Source organism: Homo sapiens, chromosome 5 (genome assembly GCF_000001405.40).
Source record: "Homo sapiens chromosome 5, GRCh38.p14 Primary Assembly".
Taxonomy (NCBI): domain Eukaryota; kingdom Metazoa; phylum Chordata; class Mammalia; order Primates; family Hominidae; genus Homo; species Homo sapiens.
In genome coordinates, this window is record NC_000005.10 from 100,533,022 (window position 1) to 100,555,788 (window position 22,767).

At 36.7% G+C, this 22,767-nt stretch overlaps 1 protein-coding gene and 1 long non-coding RNA gene across 3 annotated transcripts in view, besides 1 other annotated feature; one reads left to right on the forward strand and one right to left on the reverse strand.

Moving 5' to 3' along the window:
* FAM174A-DT (FAM174A divergent transcript) overlaps positions 1-2,222 on the reverse strand; it is an 84,330-nt gene extending 82,108 nt beyond the window's left edge. Inside the window, exons 1-2 of the long non-coding RNA NR_172939.1 lie at positions 2,140-2,222; positions 1,059-1,131 (exon numbers count right to left, since the gene is read on the reverse strand). This is a non-coding gene — a long non-coding RNA (FAM174A divergent transcript). The remainder of the gene's footprint in view (positions 1-1,058; positions 1,132-2,139) is intronic.
* Positions 2,312-2,611: an enhancer, noted in NCBI's record as "active region_22842". NCBI's record gives its function as "activates an Ori minimal core promoter by ATAC-STARR-seq in GM12878 lymphoblastoid cells {active_cell/tissue: GM12878}" and the evidence as "EXISTENCE:reporter gene assay evidence [ECO:0000049][PMID:35858748]".
* The window catches only part of FAM174A (family with sequence similarity 174 member A), a 51,368-nt gene continuing 30,953 nt past the window's right edge, over positions 2,353-22,767 (forward strand). For both annotated transcript variants that reach the window (XM_006714600.2, NM_198507.3), the window contains exon 1: positions 2,353-2,943. In XM_006714600.2, the coding sequence (XP_006714663.1) occupies positions 2,510-2,943 (434 nt within the window). In that variant the 5' untranslated portion in view covers positions 2,353-2,509. The remainder of the gene's footprint in view (positions 2,944-22,767) is intronic.

The following is a 22,767-nucleotide window of genomic DNA, read 5'->3' on the forward strand; positions in this document are numbered from 1 at the left end:
ATCCTGTCCATTTCCCTAACTTTTTTCCCATTAATCCAATCCTACAGGCCTCTATAGCCCTAGGACTATATACTAACCTGCTTGGTGCCCAGCACTTTCTACCTTCACTTAAAATGGCTATATTACTGCCAGGATAAACTTTTTAAGTACAGATCTCTCCTGATATAGCAACCAACTAACTAAACAACAACAACAAAAACAAAATCAGATTTTTCAGAGATACTCAATTCTCAACAAAAGTGATCTTAAGCAGGCAACATACCTGGAAGTTACTGTGCTCTTTTTAGAATACCATATTGTTTGTAAAACATCATTATATAATGACATCTTGAAATCTGTCATGGGAATGAACAAAAATTTTCCTAGGAGAAGATACTGTGTTTTGTTTGTGCAATAGAAAGTTACAATTTTGAGCACAAATATCTATGTGAAATACAATCTTTCAAACTAAGTAAAATTAGTTGTTTATGAATTTTTCTCTTAATTTTAATATACTTGTTCATTTACTTGTTATCAATTGGCTTGCAAACAAGTTGTACCAAGCACAGGATATAAAAAAAAAATACATAAATAAGGGGAAAAAATCTCAGAATGAGAAATTTGTATCAGGTTACTGCCACATTATTATATTCTCCTAATTAATACCATGATTTGATTCTAGCTTCTTAATCAACTATTGCTAGAATAATGTGGCATAATCAATAACCATAGAAATATCAGTGGCATACAGCAAATAAGCATTTATTTTTCACTTCTTTGGTCAAGCTGGGGTTGACTAACTTAAGCTAACCTTGGCTGCATTTGGTGCCAGGCTATAGGTTTAGTCATAGTTTACGCCAGATATCCCACAGTCTACTAGGATCAGAGGACTAGCTGGGTCATATTCTTTTCAAGGTTAGGGCCAGAACTTTCTGTGCAGAGAGGGCAGGCAAGTGAAAGGGGGAAAGGAATAATGAGAGAGGTAGGTGTGTGTATGCATGTGTGTGTGTTTCTGGCTCTCTCTCTGTATATATCTACCTGTATCTGTCTCTCTTTTAGCAATGAAAACAATAACTTACTCAAAAGACCCACGTATACCCTTGACAGGCATCTCATTGGTGAGAGGTACATCATGCGGCCACTTCTAGTTATCTGCACAAATTGAAGTTCCATATTACTGAAGTCAAACAGGCAAGGAAGACATTATTGAAGACTACTGCTGTTGGGAAAGGGGATAAAACTCTTCTAATCTCAACTCCTCTAAAAGAAAAAAAGGAGTGGAGAGTTATTAAGAGCTATTTTGGGAAGATCACCGGCCACCTGAGTTTGCTGATTGACTTTACCCAAAGGAAAAGTAAATTTTCTCCTCCATGACAGGAGGTGGTTTTACAACTTGAAGCGAGAAGCCTACAACAGTTAGGTTCCTTTCCTCTCACACAAAATAAGAGATGGCCCACTACCTTCCTTGCTGATTATATTTCAAAGGCATGATGGCTTTCCATACCCTTGAGATAGTTTTCAATTATATAACTGGCCAGAAGCTTTAAAAAATATTTACATCTGAAAAGGGAAGAGAAATAACTTACAATGGTAAAGTTTTCTAAAGTAATTTTTTTTAATATACTTTAAGTTCTAGGGTATATGTGCACAACGTGCAGGTTTGTTACATATGTATACATGTGCCATGTTGCTGTGCTGCACCCATTAACTCGTCATTTACATTAGGTATATCCCCTAATGCTATCCCTCCCCCCTACCCCACGACAGGCCCCGGTGTGTGATGTTCCCCATCCCGTGTCCAAGTGTTCTCATTGTTCAATTCCCACCTATGAGTGAGAACATGCAGTGTTTGGTTTTCTGTCCTTCTAATAGTTTGCTCAGAATGATGGTTTCCAGCTTCATCCATGTGCCTACAAAGGACATGAACTCATTACAAGCAAATGCTCTTTAGAAAGGGAGGTCAGGGACCCATAGGCAGGAAAAAAAGCCTGCTTAAAGCTTGTAATGAAGCTAAGGAAAACTAAGCCCTTCTGGCTTACAGATTAAATGTGTTATTGCAGTTTGACACCAATGAATTCAGATTATGAGTTTCCAATCTCTCAGGGTTCCTGCATGAGAGAGTTGCTGTACATTTTACACAATCTCTTTTTGTCTACTTACTTTCTTAATACGCATCCTTGACCGCTCCTCACTAACAGTGAAAAGAACAATGCTTCCAAAACGGTCACGTCCTCGCTTTTTACACAAGTGCGCGTGCGCACTGGGCGCTAGGCCTCTGACGTCACCAAGTGCATCCGCCCCTACAAGTTAGCAACCGAAGGCGTCCTTAGCAGCAGTGGCCGCTGAGATGTACGAACTTCCGGTTCTCCGGGCAGCTGCCACTGCTGTAGCTTCTGCCACCTGCCACGACCGGGCCTCTCCCTGGCGTTTGGTCACCTCTGCTTCATTCTCCACCGCGCCTATGGTCCCTCTTGGAGCCAGCGTGGCGGGCCTGGCGGCTCCCGGGTGGTGAGAGAGCGGTCCGGGAACGATGAAGGCCTCGCAGTGCTGCTGCTGTCTCAGCCACCTCTTGGCTTCCGTCCTCCTCCTGCTGTTGCTGCCTGAACTAAGCGGGCCCCTGGCAGTCCTGCTGCAGGCAGCCGAGGCCGCGCCAGGTCTTGGGCCTCCTGACCCTAGACCACGGACATTACCGCCGCTGCCACCGGGCCCTACCCCTGCCCAGCAGCCGGGCCGTGGTCTGGCTGAAGCTGCGGGGCCGCGGGGCTCCGAGGGAGGCAATGGCAGCAACCCTGTGGCCGGGCTTGAGACGGACGATCACGGAGGGAAGGCCGGGGAAGGCTCGGTGGGTGGCGGCCTTGCTGTGAGCCCCAACCCTGGCGACAAGCCCATGACCCAGCGGGCCCTGACCGTGTTGATGGTGGTGAGCGGCGCGGTGCTGGTGTACTTCGTGGTCAGGACGGTCAGGTGAGGCAAAGCCTCGGTGGGGCACCCCCGTGGGCCTGAGATACGCAGGCCGGTGATCTCCAGCAAGGCTGACTTCTGTGACCCTTTCCCCCTTCCCCAGCATCAGGGACTCCTGCTTAAGAATATGATATTGACTTTCTTAAAGGCCTGTTACCTTTGGAGCAATTTAAACCTATAACTAATTGCTGCCTTTTGTTTATAAATGAGTGCCCTACCTCCAAATCTCTTCATCTGACCTACAACCCACGTCAGCCTCAAAGGGCACCCTTTCTCTGAAGTGAGGATAATCTTTATTCCCTAGAATTTTGACTACTCTGTCTTGTAATACTTCTACCTTTCTAGTCTAAATTTTTGTATACCTAACTGGTCAAAATTTTGCCAATCAGAATGCAAACTCTTTAAAGACAGGATATCTATTTAGTAGGTTTGTGAGTCTTACAAATTATTTGTACAATGCTGCCACTTAATAGGAAATCAATATATATTTGAGTGGATTAATAGTAATATAGAGGTGCCTTATGGATATTTTATTTTTATAAAATTCAGGAGAAGAAAAGTTCTTCCTTACTATCAGTGTTTCCTAGTATTGCCCTTTAATCTGCCACCTAAGTGGCAGAGAATCACCTTCCTGAAGAGTTGACATACAGAGCCAAGACCTCACCATTAGGAGAAGCCAGCAAAGAGATAAGGTGAGGGAAAGCTGTCTAGCAGTTTATTTCATTATAAAATAAGTGTAGAGGGTAGGTTTGCAGCTTATGTTTGTTTATTGTTTTCAAAATTCACGTTTTTCCCATAAATACCCTCTGTATTGTAATTTAACATATTTCTTTAAACTGATTATTTAAAGCAAAAGTTTCCTTTTAAACAAGTCGTTATTATCATGAATGGAAAACCAACATCACTTGGCTAGTTAAAAAATAGTGTAAGCCAGTGGTTCTTGACATGTGGGCCAGGGAACCACACAGGTGGGAGTTTCACTTAGACCTCTTCAGGGCATCTACAGTATTAAAACTATTTTCAAAATAATACATTCTGTTACAGGCTTATAGGGTACAAGTAGTTCATTGATATTGTTTCAGATTCCACATTGCAACTAATCTTTAAGAAACTGCTTGTCAAGTTTTGGTGTAGTAGTATCATAAAGGAATAACCACTCATATATAAAAAGGCTATTAAAATGTTTCTTTCCATTCCAAGTTTATATCTGTGCGAAGATGGAATTACTTTGTATGCTTCAACCAAACAACACATTGCAAAGGATTTAATGCAGAAGTAAATATAAAAATCTATCCATTTCCTATTTTTTGTTTCTATTTTTTATCTACTCCTATCACCTTAAGCCAGATATTAAAGGGAATTGGAAATAAGAATCTAAATGTCATTCTTTTTACGTTTTTTTCTTTTTTGAAAATATAGTTGTTTTTCATAAAAGTTATGTTAACTTGTAATGTGTTTACTATTATTTTAAATCAGTTGATAAGTATAGGTTTTCTCAAGTTTAATTAATATGGTAAAGTTGATATGTGTAATTCACATAAATATAAGTTATTTTGGGTTCCTGAACAATTTTAAGAATGTAAAGAAATCCAAAACAGCAGGCGTAAGCAATATTTGAGAACCACAGCTGTAAGAAATATTATTTGAGCTAGATATTGTTGGTTCACAAAGGCTAGCAAATCTGCACTCACACTCTAAGTGTTAAAAGCATATTACCACCAAACTGAGACTTTCTTCTTAATATAAAGAAAGATTAAAAGAATATTGAAACAAATTATTTTCCTCACTATATAACTGTTATTTACTGCTGTCTGTACATAGTTCCTATAAAAATGCATGGCCCCTTGAATGTTGTATCTCTTATACATAAAAATGATAAGTATAATGATAATTTGGGGGGAATATTCCTTCCTTGTTTTTTTCCTTTTGCTTCCACCTTTTTAATTATTTTAAATACACATATTTATTACCATTGATTTTCTGTCATTAATGTTGTAAAACTTGGACAGATACAGTCCTTCCAATATGATCCTATTGGATGACTTGGTAACATGATGTGTGTTAACAGCCAAATTCTGAACTATGGCTAATAAAAAGTGCATTCTTTAACCAGCATCTAACATATTCATGCAGTCCAAGTCCTACATTTAGTTGGCTGCCTGGCATCCAAAGCTTGAATGATGCTAACAATGTCTGGGCAGTGTTCCGAACTCATACTTTTTGCTTCCAGATTATGGTTTTCTTCATTATCTTGGTGAATGCTCATTTTGGCTCCCATTTTCAAACTATGTGTGACAGTGCACTGAAATTAGTTATTTGTGCCAAGGGAGAAGAATGGGCCAAAATCATTATTTTCTTAACTGATTTGAGGTGATGCAGAAAATATTTTACTTGTAAAATTTTATTACATTGAACTACATGAGACTTTCAAATAGTTTTGTTTTTATCTAATTCATTTATAATGAATATGTAGGTAATAATAACTTCCTTTTTGAGTCTGGAAACATTCCAAAGAACAGTCAGGTTCTCACTGTAGAAATACAAAACATATATATATATATGTAAGTGTATATATATATATGCAAGGAACACGGTAGGGACAAAGTAGATTGCCTAAAATGAACACTTAATCTCTATGAAAAGAGACTTTTCTGTCTTATTCTCCCCTATATCCTCAGTGCTAAACATCATGTGCAATATATGATGGGCACTGAATAAGCAGTTGCCTAATGGATGAGCACTCTTCATGTATTATATTGCTGAACAGGTAGGTGGTAAGGATTTGGAAATTTAAGGATAATTGCTGTTTACTGACGGAACAAAGAACTGCGAAGATCTCAATTAATACTTTTATTTCCTTCCTCTCAGTAGGACATTCTCTCCACAGTAAAATGTATAAGGCCAGGGAGCGGGGGTGGGGGGAAATCACTGTAGATGGTTGTTGGTTTTAGCACGTATGGTAATTATATAAAGCAATTTTTGTCATAGCTGAATAATGATTCTTGCCTTAAAAGCAGGGAATTATTTCCTTTTTCATGCCATGTCGTTGGTTTTTCGTTTTTTATTCAATTTGGTATATTGGAAGGAAATCGATGCTTAAAAGTTTAACCCTCTACTTTTTTTAAAAAAAATCTCTATGCTCTTTAGCAAGTCTCTTCCAATTTCAAGAAAATATGGTGCTCATGCTCATATAGTGGAGATGAGCATGAAATTTATTATGATAGCCTTTATTTAAGCAGTCAATATTTATTCAACTGACCAGTACTGGGCACTGGGGATACAGTTTTGAGCAAAACAAACATTTCTGCTTCTATAACACTTATATACTAGAGGAGCAGAGGGGCATTAACCAAATAATCACATAGATAAGTACATAAAGGATGCTATGAAAAGGCATTAAAATGCAGATCCTATTAATACATATTATATAGGAAATAAAGAATATTAATTTAATTTGAATGCTTACCCAACCCTATACGCTAAGACACAACGTTAGGTTTTTTCAAAGAACCATACTTTGTAACTGAAAGATTATTTTTGAGCTTTTACTTATCATCCTAATAGCTGATAGTTAATTGATAATTTATGTGTCAGATATAATACCGCATACTTTATGTGCATTTTGAAATTCTTGCAAAAACCTTCAAAGTAGGTAATATCATTCTTACTGAGGAAATTTAGGCTGAGCAAGTTTAAATAACTTGCCCAAGCGTGCACATACAGGACCTGCCCAAACCCAGCTCTGCTGGAACTTACCTAACATGTTCAACCATCATGCTGCTTCCTGTGATCATTTAAAGTAACCAATTTAAAGCGATATTGCACATAAAGATGGCTAGCTTATTTATGGAGAAAAATAAAGTGGATAGTATATGCCCAGTGCCTTTCTGTTTAAAACACATGATTTTGTTGGATGTTAAACCTCCAAATTTTACCTTTTTGAAAAGTGAGTTAACATTTATTGATCATCATATTTGTGCCAAGGTGAAATAATTTTGTTTCCTACCTCAACTCCCTGCATTCCTTCCCTCATCCAAAGATTTTCCTGATTTACTACACATAGTCAGGGAATGGTAATATTTTAAAGAAACGTCTGTTAATATGGTCACACATATTTCCACCTTAGTGGAGCAAGTCACTAATGATTTATGCATGTGACTTTAATCACCATTTCTCTTTTGTCTGGTTACTTAAGAATATGAGTTGTTTTCTTTTTCTCCTAGAAGTCTTGTGGTACCAGCCCTATTTACAAAATTATAAAACATCCATAGAAATCACTTAATTTAAGCAAAACCAGGAGTACTTTTGACTATTTAACCATTTATGTATTTAGTGACTGTCACTAATTCAGTAAATATTATTTACCACCTATTGGGTGCCATTACTAAGCTCTGTGATGAGGGTTAGTAGTGCACAAGGAAAGTCCCTGCATTCATGGAACTTCCATTATAATTGTTCATATCTCCTTGGAAAGTGGAGTTTTCCTAACATGTGTAAATTGTCCTGGTTTGCCATTATTTATTTAGCTAGTCAGTGTATATCAAATGTTTTCTATATAAAGAGACCCAGAAACTTGGAAATGTATTTAACAAGTACTAGTTCGCAAGTAATGAATATTTTTTTGCAAAGGTGAAACTTCCCTTCACAAAATGTTTACTCATACACCTAAAATATTTTAAAGTGTCAAGTTAGTTTGCTATGTGGTCAAGTGCCAAAATACCAAGATGATGACATAACTGATATGTCAGGGATCATAATCCCTGATATGATTATCATATCATAAGTGAAGTGATAATAGAATGCTCTGTTTTTAAGTGATATTTGTTATGTGTGCAGTTCTGGGAGGTAAAAGTGGAGATGTACTAGTTTGTTGGGGGCGTTGAGGCCAGAGCAATGCTTGCTCATGTAATGCCACATATAGACATTGATATCTATACGGGGTAAATGTATGAGACTACCTGCCCTGATACTATCCACCTTAGACACTGCCTAGTGATCTCAAGAGCTGAGGAGATCTTTGCTTCACCACATCAATAGCCATTTGCTTGTATGACACCCTGGCTCAGGAGATTTGTAGGACAATGCTGAATGTGGACTATGTAAAGTAGTTTGACAAGTTATCATATGGGCCACCTTTAAGCCCACACAAATCTGTTTCTGATAAATTTGAATGACTGTTATATCTCTCAAACTTCTGAATATTAGGGCTTCAAAGATAATAAAGACATCATATTTGTGTTCAAGGAGCTTATCTAGTGAAGGAGTACCACTGCTTTTTGTGGTAATAAACTAAACTTTTGGGAATGTGGCAGCAAGAGCTGAAGCTATTTGGAGAAGGCTGCTCTTAAATATCATTCCTGTTAGACAAAGCCATCTGAAAAGCCACTTCATAACATAACAAAAACTATTATATTTTTGTAGAAGACTAAATATTTATCTCTAATCAGCATAAATCTTTTACAAACTTGCCCTGTAACTGAATCTATTTTCAGTTGACCTTTTCTGCTTGGATATATTTCATTTCACTCTTAACTGTGCAGGCAGGGAGAAGTATTGGATGAGAGCTGTAGAAAGGGGTCCATTTAAGAATGAACTATCCAGTCTTGTTTAAATGCCATTAGTGGGGAAAGAGCAAGTACAGAAGGAAATATTGAAGATATGGGAAAGGAAGATACCTAAGAAGACATTAAGGAGGGAATCTAAATAAAGCTCTTGTCATAGGACAGGAGAGAGATTTTCCATTGAAATGTTCCCATTTCCATGCCTTTCATTCTCTCTTATGCTTTTTGTAGTCTGGCTTCTAATTCTACCACTCTAGAATTACTCATGCAGAAGATGGTTAATAAGCACATTGTCTCAGTTTCATGGATATTTTCCCCTTTTCTGTAGCACTCAGTGCACTGGTTCTTACTTTGACTTCTGAGACATCTCTTCTGATTTTCTTCTTACCTCCTTGAGTATTTCTTGCCTAGCTTCTTCATGAATTTCTTATTCCATGAACTCTTCTTCCTAATTAGGACTCTTCTACAAGCTAATGTCTGGAGAGCAGGGCCTCTGTCTTACTCATCTTTGGTCCCTAAAGGCCCAATCTGATTCCTAGAATACAACGAGATGCATTGAATTTTTGTGGAAGAGAATGACTTTCACCTCCCAACTGACAGTGTTTTCTGGGCCCTGCTTTCACTGTCCATGTTCCCTGGGTGATCCATCCAAAATTCATTTCCTTAATGGCCACCTCTAAGCTGTTAATTACTTTCTGAGTTACAGACATGTATAGCCAGCCAACTTCTTACGGGATAGATGATTCAGACTTGTTTTCAAGTTTAAGCTTGAAACAGTATTTTTATCCCTGGACAAATCTTGCTGTACTCTCTTTATAAGGAGAATAACACCATCATCTACACAGTTTCTCAAACTAGAAACCTAAGTCATCCCATGTCTCTCTTTTGCTTACCATTCACATACAGTCATCCAATTTCAATTGCTAAATATTTCTTGACTATATTGCTGCTTTATGAGCTCAATTGACCTTACATTAGTTTAGGTTCACATCACTAGATTATTGTGCTATTGTTTCTAACTTTTCTCCACTTCACCTGTCTCTCTTTCAATTTACCTTCAACACTGAACAGATGGTGTTCCCTCTGAGATGTAAATCTATCATACTATGTGTGTGCTTATAATCCTTTATTGCTACACTGTCCAATATGGTAGCCAGTAGGTACAGGTGGCTATTTAAAAACTTATGTTACCTGGGCACAGTGGCTTACGTTTGTAATCCCAGCACTTTGGGAGGCCAAGGTGGGAGGATCTCTTGAGTCCAGGAGTTTGAGACCAGCTTGGGCAATATAGTGAGATCCTGCTTATTATATTTATATATATATATGTGTGTGTGTGTGTGTGTATAATATTCACACACATGTGTAGGGGGTATATGTGTGTGTGTATATATATGTGTGTGTGTAATATATATGTATATACACATACTGGGTATAGCAGTGCAGGCCTGTAAGTTCCAGCTGTTTGGGAGGCTGAAGTGGGAGGATCACTCAAACCTAGGATATTAAGACTGCAGTGTGTGATGATCACACTACTGCACTCCACCTTTCATGACAGAGCAAGACCTTGTCTCAAACAAAGTTAATGAAAAATAAAATGTAAAATTCCAGTCCATTAGATATACTAGCTGCATTTCTTTTATTTATTTAGAGACAAGGTCTGGCTCAGCTCACTGCAACCTCTGCCTCCCGGGCTCAAGCCATCCTCCCACCTCAGCCTCCCAAGTAGGTGGGACTACAGGCGCACGCCACCACACCCAGCTATTTATTGTATTTTTTATAGAAATTTGGTTTTGCCATGTTGCCTAAGCTGGTCTCGAACTCTTGAGCTCAAGTGATCTGCCTGCCTTGGCCTCCTAAAGTGCTGGGATTACAGGTGTGAGCCACTTCACCCGCCAACTAGCCACATTTTGAGGGCTAAATAATCACATGTTGTTAGTGGCAACTGTATTGGACAGAACAATGCAGAATATGTCCATCACTGCAGAAAGTTCTATTGGGTAGCACAATTCTATGGCATTTCATGGGATCAATGTTCATACTCTTTAGTATTTAATTAGCTCCTTAATCAGATTTTTTGGTGTTTTTGACATGGAGTCTCCCTCTGTCACCCAGGCTGGAGGGGAGTGGCACAGTCTTAGCTCACTGCAACCTCCACCTCATGGATTCAGACGATTCTCCTGCCTCAGCCTCCCCGAGTGGCTGGGACTACCGGCCATCATTTTTTATTTTATCTTGTCTTCCAGTCTCTAGTGAACTATATTTTTATGCAAGTACATTTTTCAAGGATGGAATTCTTTGCATTCTTTCTTTATTCTCTTGTTTAACTCCTGGTTGTCTTTGAAGATGAAATGGAACATGTACTCTACTGGGAAATCTCTGTGATTCCAGACCATTTTGAGAATACCTGTGTTATGACATTATTTCCAGGGGACTATAATAGGTGGTTCTGTTTCTGTCTTCTTTTCTACACTGTTTGCTTTTTATACCTTATTTAGAAAATAGTAGATTTTCACGTTTTCTGAATTAATATCAAAAGGAAATAAGAAATAATGTATCAGGCTGGGCATGGTGGCTTATGCCTGTAATCCCAGCATTTTGGGATTCTGAGGCAGGCAAACTGCTTGAATCCAGGGGTTGAGACCAGCCTGGGCAATATAGTGAGACTTCATCCCTACTAAAATGAAAAAAAGAAAAAATTAGCTAGTTGTGGTGACCTGTGGCCCCAGCTACTCAAGAAACTGAAGTGAATCACTGGAGTCCAGGAAGTCAAGGTCGTACCCCTGCATTTGTACCCCTGCATCCCGGAAACAGTTGAGGCCAAGGTCATACCCCTGCATTTGTACCCCTGCATTTGTACTCCTGCATCCTCAAACAGATGAGATCCTGGAGAGAGAGAGAGAGAGAGAGAGAGATCGAGAGACAGAGAGAGAAGGAGAGGAGAGAGAGGGGGAAAAGAGGAGAAAGAAAGATAAAGGAAAAGAATAAAAAAGAAATAATGTATGTGAAATCAAAACATGTAAATGAAGATTAAAAATGTGAGGTAGCTGTGTGAGAGTGGTGTTAACATCAATCCTGCAATAATGTAGTCATTTTAACTCATTTCAATTCCATACTGGAGCCTCATGATATATGCTTGTGCAGAGAAGTCAGTTTTTTTAACAGGTGTATATTTGCATGTATTTACCCAAGATAATGTGCAGATTATTCACCAGTGTATATCTAACATGACTGCAGTCCTCAGGGTATTAGAGTACAACCAGAAAATGCATTCCTCTGTAATTGATAGAGGTTGAATGTGGGACAAAATGGAGAAACTAGATTGAGATGCTTCTGGTTAGTTATTGCAAAGTTTTTCTGAAAACAAAATCAATAGCATTTGAACATTACTATCAACTGGTAGCAATGCTCAGGTGGTATCTACCAATACACTCTACCAGTGTTTCTGGACCCATTGCTACAGCAAGCGTCTATTCTGACTAGATGGTCCTTATGCCCTGCCAGTTGTTAAATAGCTAAATATCTTGAGTATCACCTCTACTCCTACACTTCAAAGTTCCTGAGTTCTTTTGTCATGATCTCCAGTGCCCATTGTAGTATTTCTCTTCTATATTATTGCATTTGATTCTAATTTTATCTTTGGTGAAGACTACATTTAAAAAATTACTTAGGTTTGATCTTTTCTAAAATATGAGAAATATGGTAAAATGTTGAAATTGGGTTGAAAGATATGTTGGTAATTTGCATTGTTCAGTATGATATAAAACATATCTAGAGAAATACTTAAATCATAAATTGAGAATCTTATAGTAATTGAAGTTACTTTCTTAAGAAATCAGGTTTTCCTTGGCGTTTTTGGATAGATTTTTATTGCTATATTCTTTAATAATCCTTTTTTTTTCTGGAAGAAGAAAGTGGTATAGAGTTGAAAATTCATAGAACATGAAGATATTGACTGTTGTGAGATTTTGGTTGGCATGTAATGTCAATTCTTTCTGTGTAGCCAAACTGTATTATGTTTTTGTAATGTAAAAGGGGTAATATATACTATGGTTTGACTTTAGTTATACTGTAATTTTATGTATTCACCAGTTATCTCAATAGTAAAGCAAAACATCCAAAAGATAAAACTGTCTCTATGTTTCTATGCTAATTAATTTACATACATATGAGTATATGTGTAATTTTCCATGCATGCCTTTATTCCTCTAGTTAATATGATAGTTTTAGTTTTAACTTTCTTTTATTACTGAAATCTATAGAACATAAATTCACATTATTAATATATGTTACATGTTAATAAAACACATGACATAATTATAACCTTGTGTTATCACTTATAATTGTTTAAAGGAACTATTATTTTTCCTGTCATTATGTATACTGTAGACACCTTAAATTTATATAGATGTATACAAAAAACCTTATAAAATTATTTGATAAGTGTTATTTCAGCCTCAACTCTGAGGTGAGTAGATAATTTTTCAAATTAGGAAACTGATATGAGAAGCTACGTATTTTAATCAGGATAGTACAAGCTACAGTTGAACAAACAACTTCAATCTAAATGACTTAATACAATAAAATTCTATTTTTCCTTTAAGAAAATTCAGCTGCAGATTTGGGCTATCCTCCAACACAGTTGTCCTCCATGTGGTAACAGCAATTTAGCTGGCTTTAATGTTTGGTCTTGCCATGCCAACATATGTCCTTCACAGTTGTCAGAGCTTGGTGAGAGACACCAGAGAATGCACAGGAGCTTTCAAATGCCTTAACCTAGAAAAGGCACAGTTACATCTGTTCATGTTTTATTGACCAGTCCTAGTCATGAGCCTACTATGGGAAGTGAGTAGGTACTATGTGTGGGGAGGCAGGGGGAGGGAGGTCAAGATTTGATGAACACTAATAATATCTACCGTATGAAGTGATAGACCAAAGGTCATATTGCTGGAAGAGTGCCCAAGCTCCTGAAGAACTCAGATTTGGAACTCTACTTTTGCCATCTCTTCTACATTATTCAGTGAGTTCTTGAAGTAATTGATTGATTATATTTTTACTCTTTCATTGGTATGAATTTGCATCTTACCAAATAGTAAAACAAATTTCTATTGAGCCTGGAAATAATACACAGTAAATACTTTTGCCATTAGCTTGAGCTGCACTATCTCCCTGTGCTATCTTATAAGTTATATGCACTATACCAGATACACATTGATACCCATTGCAAAACTATCCCAATTCTTCAAAAAGTGATGCTGCCATAAACAGTCAACGAAATGCATCTACTCATTAATTACCTGTTCTTATTTTCTTCTCACTGTCGACTGCTTACTGTGTATATTTTTTTCTATCCTATAGCTTCTGGCTTCTCTTGAGTTTTTGTTTTCTTGTGATCTACTATGACTTGTCATTCTCTTTATTCTATATAATGTTATTTTGACTCCTTTAGTCTTTATCACCCATTAAAACTGCCTCATGTTCCTGTGTGCATATATATGTGCATATTTTCTTCCATATTGACTTCCCAAAGTTGATATTCTGATGGTTTATCTTATCTTTGTAGGCTAGGCCACATCATCCATCACAATCTAGCCTAGGGATTGACAGTCCTAGTTTAGAAAGTTGCTCATCCCAGGCTTGTGTTAGTTTTCAGTGGGAATAAGTGATTTTTCATGGTAGAAAACATGATTAACCATTTCTGTCCATTCATAAAAAAAAGTATGAGTGGAGTAGTTTTTCTGAGGACTAGGGACAGTGGACATGACAGATTGCATGATATGTCTTGTACATTGTTTTAACAATGTAGATTTCCATATTTTTAATGGTGGGATCCTAATATATAAACTAACTAAAAGCAACAATGCACTGATTGGCCACACCTCCACAGAAACCTAGGACACTGAAGAGCCCAGTTTGAAAACAGTCATGTTTTTCAATTTGGGCTGCCAAATCTCTGAGAGAATGTGATGGAAATTATATGATGATCTGCAAGGAGATGGGAAAACTGTGCTAAGCTGAGAAAACAAGTATAAAATGAAGCTATGAAAAGTTAGTGAGCTTTTTGGTGGCAATGTTATTTTAGATTGAAAATTGCTGATGAAACATTTGATTGGTTTATTCAAAGTGGACGGATTGCTGATAGAACCCGCCTGAAAGATTCTTAAAGGGTATCACTATGAGTATATACATCCAGATGATATACAGTAGCAGTGTGGCTCAGAGAAACTAATATGTTAAGTGTCCTTATCATTTAGGAGGTTTTTAGCTATAAATAATAAAATATCCAATTAAAAGTGAGTTAAACACAAGGAAATATTTTTTTTTTGTCATTTACTTATCATGTATATGAATAGGCCTAGGTTTGGTTCACTGGCTTTGGGAGATTATTAAGAATTCCATATTTTTCCACTCTTGCCTTTCTATAGGATGGCTGCCTCTGCTCTAAATATTCTGCTCTCACTCAATAGTATCTTAAGCAGGAAGGAGGGAAGGGACTATGAACGGAAGACTTCTGTATGCTTTTGTTTTGTTTTATAATCAGGGAGAAAAATCTTTCCTGGAAACCCCACTAACAGAGACATCCCCTTCTATCTCATTTGTCCGAACTGCTTCATCTGCTTACTCCTAGACAATGGCTGGCAAAAGGAAAATTATATTTTCATGATTGGTTTGAATCAATTATTATGGCCATTATGTACTCCTTAGGGCTGGGCTCAATTGCTCTCTAAACAAAATCATGGTTCTGTTAAGCCAGAAGAAGAAAGTTGCCTCTAAACAAAGCAGATTCTATTACAGTGATCAAAATTAAGAGAGAGATTCATCAGAACAACAACTAATCAAAACAACATAATTGTACTTGTTAATGCAAGTAGCTGCCAAGTTATTATTATTATTATTACTACATAAGGATGAACTAGAAAATATGGCTCAACTAAAACAATTATCTAGTTTGGTATAATGTGAGATAGTTGTTTTGAAGATTAGCAGGCTGTTTTCACCTAATTTTTTGACCTTCATTAAAATTACTTAGATTCATTAGGAATACAATTTGTCTCAATATTTTAAAACTCAGACTCAGTAGTCAGCTTACTCGTGTATGAATCTTAGCTCTACCATTCACTGTCCCACATTTAATTTTCTCTACTTTGTGCCTTTCTGTGGATGAAATGAAGGTACTTAAGCTATAGGATTGTTATGAGAATCAGATAATATTTATGAGTTGTTTAGCTTAATGCCTGGCATATGTGCATGCGCAGAACATCAGCTCTTCATAATCGCATGCTTTTACATCTAGAATTCAAATTACAATTTATCTGAGGAGTTTTACTATAATGTTTTTAATACCTCTGTCTCATAAACTATTAATACTATCACTATTTTCATTTTTATACTTTAATTTTCTCACTTATGAAATAGAAGCTTTAAATATGTATACAAATATTGTTATGTATTATAAATATATGTATATTTGTATTATGTATAACTTAAATCTCTCTCTGTATTTATATATACGTATATGTATCTATGTATATACCTCTGTGGTACCTAACTGCTAAAGCTATAATCAGCAAGATGGTAGAACTGACAGGGCTGTAGATAGAGTCAGTGTAAGGGGAATAAAAGGAGATTATAGGATAATTCTGAAAGGGTTGGTCATAGAACCAGTGAGAGGCTACAAAGGATGAATCTTGGGGGTACTGAACTGTAGATAGAACTTTAAGGTTGATTGGGAAATAAATCCATGCTGAACTTTTAGAAATGGAGGTCAGAAGAATTACCAAGTCTCACATCCTGAGCCTTAGGTCCTAAAAGGGAAGACAAAGAAATCCATGTCAAGACAAAGAGGAGATATGACAAGGAAACTATGTGTTACATACTTTCATATGGAATACTTCAAAGCCAAACTATATAACGTTGATTTAGGATTTACTTTACCTGGGGGTGTCTGCCAACATGCCTTCAACAGGAGACAAACATAATCACAGGAAGTGATTGTATGTACTGAATTACAAGGAGTTGGGAGAGAAAAGGTATCTATCAAGGAAAACAAGGTTGCAGTGTCCTGAACATACATGAACACGCTTTTGATTTTTTTTTTTTTTTTGACCTTTGGGTGTTAGCAGTAAACACTTCATTAGAATTCAGCAGTAGCAGTATACCTCGTTGAAGGAACTTTCTAGTTAAGGATGCACGTGGTCGAGATTGTGGTAGGGGCAGAGCTGGATAACTGTCAAGCTAATAGAGAGGGTTTTTTTAAAAATATGAAAAAATGCTAAAGGAATTCAAAACTACAATAATCTGCGAACTTCAACATGGAGTCATATACATTTTAATAGCTCCTGAGAGTTTATATCAAAGTCACTAATTATAATGATCCTGAGAGGTTAAAAAGAGACTTTTAAAATATCTCATTTTCTTCTGTATAGGATGGCAGGAATATCTTTAGCATTGAATACAGTTCTATATAGAATGCTGAGAAGTTAAAAGTAGTACAAAAAGCCAGTTTGGCTTTTGAAAGGATAAACTTCAGTTATTCATAGTGTATATGAGGAAAACTGTGTTTTTAGAATATGGTAAATTTGCATACCAAAAGGACAAAAATAAAACTCAGCATAGGATACAAACTAAATATTAGGGATTCTAGTTGGGTTAGAGTATGACAGTTGCCTGGATCATGCCTAAAACATCCTAAATGAAATCTTAGAGCTCCTGATGTGAGTACATGTTTAATATATTTAAATATTCCAGTACTTTATTTTTTTGTCCTGAGTCAGAAAGCTGTTGCCTCCAGAGGTCCATATTACGATTTTAAATTTGGCTAGCTCCCTTAGATTTTGTTGTGGTATGTATCTGGAAATGATGTTCTTTCAGGCTTGTTTTATTCCAAGGGTGATAATTTATATATAAAAATTTAGATATCTTTCTTATACAGAGAAAATGGAAGATATATTGCCAATCTATATATTTTACTCAATTAATTTGTTTAGCAATATTTATCAGGCATCAACTTTATGACAGAAGTTGTGTGCTGTGGCTACTGTGGTGAGTAAGAACAGATACAGCTCCTGCTCTCATGGAATCAAATGTCTGGTAGGGATGACAAATAGTTACTTAAATAAGTATACAAGTGAACTTTTCATAAGCACTTTAAAGGACATGTATATAGTTTCAGTGGAAGCCAATAGTAGAGGTTTGTGACCTAGTTAGGTAGAACAGAAAAGGGTTTCCTGAGGAAGTTATATTTAAGCTGACAGCTGAAAGATGAGCAGGCATTCACACAGCAGTATTGTGGTAGGTGAGAGAAGACTGTGAGGCCAATGGCAGAGAAAGCATGGCCATCATGAGGAACTGAGAGAAGGCTGTGCGGCTGGAGTTCAGAACCTGGAGTGGAATGTGGAGCAAAGAACAAGATGAGGCTAAAAATGAAAGATGAGCCATCCTGTGCTCATCTTTGTAGGCCATATATTATAGACTGATTACTTAATGTTGAGTAATAGGAAACCATTGAAGGTTTTAGAGAATGAAGGGAAGGTTAATGGATAGCCGGAGTAGGCAGAGATAGTGAATTAGGAAGCTATTTTAGTCAGCAGAGGAAGAGATGATAGGATAGCAGTGGTATGGTAAGCAATATAAATGAATTTAAATTATTTTTAGGAAGTACAATCAATAATACCTTGTGATTGTGGCAGCCATGGAGATACACTAATCAGACCTCCATTCAAGAGAACATGCTACGGGAAGCAAAGTGGCTTGACATCTTCCTGCTGTCACAGATTTGGGTCCATCACAGCATTCATGCCAGGACAATAACCCCTAAACTTGTCCCTAGCCGATGACTGAGTGGAGCAGAGCCTGGCCATCCTGACTAACAGGGAACTCCGCTAATGGGCAGCCTTTGCTTACAGGCATGCCACTGGCCTGGTGAAGACTCTTCCAGAACTGCACTGCAAGCTACAGCTCTTTCTAGCTGGTCATCCTTCCTTTCCACTCTTTCACAGGTGTCAGATCTCTATTACCCTTTGTAAGATCTCCTTAATTTCCCTTTCCTCTCTCTCTTTATCCTTCACAGGCCCTTCCCTAACAATTCTCTTGTATTCTATATTAATTTGTTAGAGCTGTTGCAAAAAAGTACAAGTGGGCTGGCTTAAACAACAGAAATTTATTGTCTCACAGTTCTGGAGGCTAGAAATCCAAAATCAAGATACTGGCAGGGCTGGTTCCTTCTGAGGTCTGTGAGGGAAGGATCTGTTCTGGGCCTCTCTTGATCTTTTTAATGATGTTTTCATGTTCACATGGCGTTCTGCCTGTGTGCGTGTCTGTCTCCAAAATTTCCCTGTTTATAAGGACATCAGTCACATTGGATGAGGGCCTACCTTAATGATCTCATTTTAACTTGATTACCTCTATAAAGACCTTATTTCTAAATAAGGCCACATTTTGCAGTACCGGGGATTAGGACTTCAACATATGAATTTTTGGAAGACGCAGTTCAACCTGTAACATGCAGACATATCCCTTATTAGTATCTGATTCTTGAAGAAGTGGAAGTGACAACTGATGGATTGGGTTGTGGAAATGGGGAATAAAGATGAGAATGATGTCAGATTGGTCAAAAGAATTTTTACTATGTGTCATATATTCAATTGGGTTGGACTTCCTGATGAAAAGTATAGACAACTACAATTGTGGTTCACTAATTTTTATTCATTTATGTTTCAGCAGTAAAGAAATTTTCACATTTATTCTTGGTCACTAGTTTACTTTTTTCTAAGAATAGTCAAGAAAAAAATTTTATTTTAGTTATAGATTATTATTCACTGTTTCATTGTTATGTCTAACCACATGGGGGAGTGTGTATATGTGTGTGTATAGTAAATAATATATTCCTCAGTCTAGCTTTGAATGTGCTATAAAAGAAATTAAGGAATAATATTACCCTACAGATGCTTAGTTAAAAAAAAAAGAAGAAGAGAAAAAATCAAATCAGGTAGATACAGCAAATTACAGCAAACTTAAATCAGGTGCATATATCAGGCTACAGCAAGTTACATTGATTGGTGTTCTCCCTTTCATAGAGCAGTGAAATTAAATGGAATTTTATTCTGTTGTGTTTATTTTATGTGGTATCATATATTTCTACATAAAATTTTATCAAGCTTACTTTAGTGGTTTAGTTTTATTTTGATACTCTAACTTATATACATGTTATTGGAAGAGAAATAGTTCTTACTAACCTGAGTGTATTGGAACATTAAGGAATCTGCATCTATATTAAGGCAGCTATTTGAATATTAACTTGAATACCTAGAAAGCATCTGACCAGGATCATTTATCTGTGCATACCAGGTGATGAGTGAATATAATTCTATATGAATAACCATATAGCTTTTTTCTTTTGCCGGCTTAGGCTTCCATACTTTCCTCTGTACAAATTTGTAGATAAGGTCTCTATTTTTATTTTCATTAGAAGCTGGCAAAATTTGTTTCTATATTTCCAAATGCATTTACTATGTCTAGTAGAAAAGTGCATATCTTTGTCTATATCTACATGTGTGTGTATAATATATATGTAATTGTCAACACACATATAGATGAGTTTGAGTGTCATGAGCCTAATGACATTCATTTGTAAGAAAAGAACTCTGGCTATTAAAATTGCACAGATATTAAAGCTCTGCTTTTTCTTTTGTTTAAAAATAATACACAATGCATATTAAAAGACAAAGTAGCCTTTTTACTTAAAATTTTGGTGTGTTTTATTGTGTATTTTATTTGATGCTTAATGTTTGTTAGTATTTTCAGTAGTGTTTGTTGAATCACCCAAGTTATTTGAAAGCTTTGAAATTGCTTTTTTTCTTCCTTGAGATGAATCACCCCATATAGTAATACAGCATGTGTGTTTTATTATAGTTGATGTTTTTATGTGGACATGTAGCTGTATGACCACATAATTATCACTGCCTATAACTTTGGACTGAGCAAAGACATTTTTAGAGAAATTACACTTCTAGTTTAAATTTTATTTAATAATATATAGCATTTTTTACTCATTCTTGGATGAGTCAGTACATATACTAAAACAGTAAATTCATTTAGATTTGAACTGCATCACCCATTTATTTGATGCCTAACAACATTCTGTTTTTATATATGAAATAGGTTCCTGTTTCTAAAGAGTTTGGATTCATTTTTAGAAGATAGTATTTACATACACATGTAAATTAAAGGATAGAATAAAGAATAAAATGTTCAAACCAATGCAGCCAAATGTTTAGGCTATATACAGATAGGGAAAATAGTATTATTAGGCAAATTAGTTTGACCACTCATTGTAAGATTAGGAATCGTTAAAGACTTTGAATGTAGAGAAGAACATCAGATGAGCTGAATGTTAAAGTCCTTAAGCTCTACATTCATATCATTTTTGTTTGTTTGTTTTGAGACTAGCCAACATGTCTTGTGACTAACAATGACAGGTTAACATATTGACTATTTGATATATATGACCCGGGAGAATCTAGTTTATTTCCAAAAATAATTTCACATGACATTAACTTCATTGACTAAAAATGTCAGAATGTTTGGAATCCATATGGTTTCAAAAACTGAGCAAAAGACTGACAAAAGGAAAGAGAAATTATAACTTTCAATATCCTTAACTTATATTTCCAACTAGTTTCACTCACTCTTATGTAATCACTTTTTAAAATCAAACAATTGCATGCAGATATCATTAAATGATATGTTTCAAAAGCACCAATAGTAAACTAACTTCCCTCTATTTTTCTATCTTTTTTTTTTTTTTTTTTTTTTTGAGACAGAGTCTTCACTCTGTCGCCCAGGCTGGAGTGCAGTGGCTTCATCTCAGCTCACTGCAGCCTCTGCCTCCCAGGTTCAAGCCATTCTCCTGCTTTAGCTTCCCGAGTAGCTGGGATTACAGGCGCACACCACCATGCCTAGCTAATTTTTGTATTTTTACTAGAGACAGGATTTCACCATGCTGGCCAGGCTTGTCACAAACTCCTGATGATCTGCCCGCCTCAGCCTCCCAAAGTGTTGGGATTACAGGTGTGAGTAACCACGCCTGGACTATTTTTCTATTTCTACTTTCTAAAGACAATACATTTATTATTTCTTTTCTTTGTTTGCTAATTACTTTCATAAGTCTAAATCAGAGGTTAGCAAAGTATGGCCCACAGGCCAAATTCCTTCTTCTGATGTTTTTGTAAGGCCTAAAGCTAAGAATGGTTTATCTATCTGTCTATCTATCTATCTATCAATCATCCATCTATATATTTTTAAGGGTGGTAAACAAAATGAAAATTTAAATGAATATGTCGCAGAGTGTGTCCTACAGAGCATAAAATACTATCTAATTTTTTTTTAAATTTTGGATGGGTTGCGTAGCTTCTTTTTTTTTAATTATACTTTAAGTTTTAGGGTACATGTGCACAACATGCAGGTTTGTTACATATGTATACATGTGCCATGTTGGTGTGCTGTACCCATTAACTCGTCATTTAACATTAGGTATATCTCCTAATGCTATCCCTCCCCCCTACCCCCACCCCACAACAGGCCCCGGTGTGTGATGTTCCCCTTCCTGTGTCCATGTGTTCTCATTGTTCAATTCCCAGCTATGAGTGAGAACATGCGGTGTTTGGTTTTTTGTCCTTGCGACAGTTTGCTGAGAATGATGGTTTCCAGCTTCATCCATGTCCCTACAAAGGACATGAACTCATCATTTTTTATGGGTGCATAGTATTCCATGGTGTATATGTGCCACATTTTCTTAATCCAGTCTATCATTGTTGGACATTTGGGTTGGTTCCAAGTCTTTGCTATTGTGAATAGTGTCGCAATAAACATACGTGTGTGTGTGTCTTTATAGCAGCATGTTTTATAGTCCTTTGGGTATATACCCAGTAACGGGATGGCTGGGTCAAATGGTATTTCTAGTTCTAGATCCCTGAGGAATCGCCACACTGACTTCCACAACGGTTGAACTAGTTTACAGTCCCACCAACAGTGTAAAAGTGTTCCTATTTCTCCACATCCTCTCTAGCACCTGTTGTTTCCTGACTTTTGAATGATCGCCATTCTAACTGGTGTGAGATGGTATCTCATTGTGGTTTTGATTTGCATTTCTCTGATGGCCAGTGATGGTGAGCATTTTTTCATGTGTGTGTGTTGGCTGCATAAATGTCTTCTTTTGAGAAGTGTCTGTTCATATCATTTGCCCAGTTTTTGATGGGGTTGTTTTTTTCTT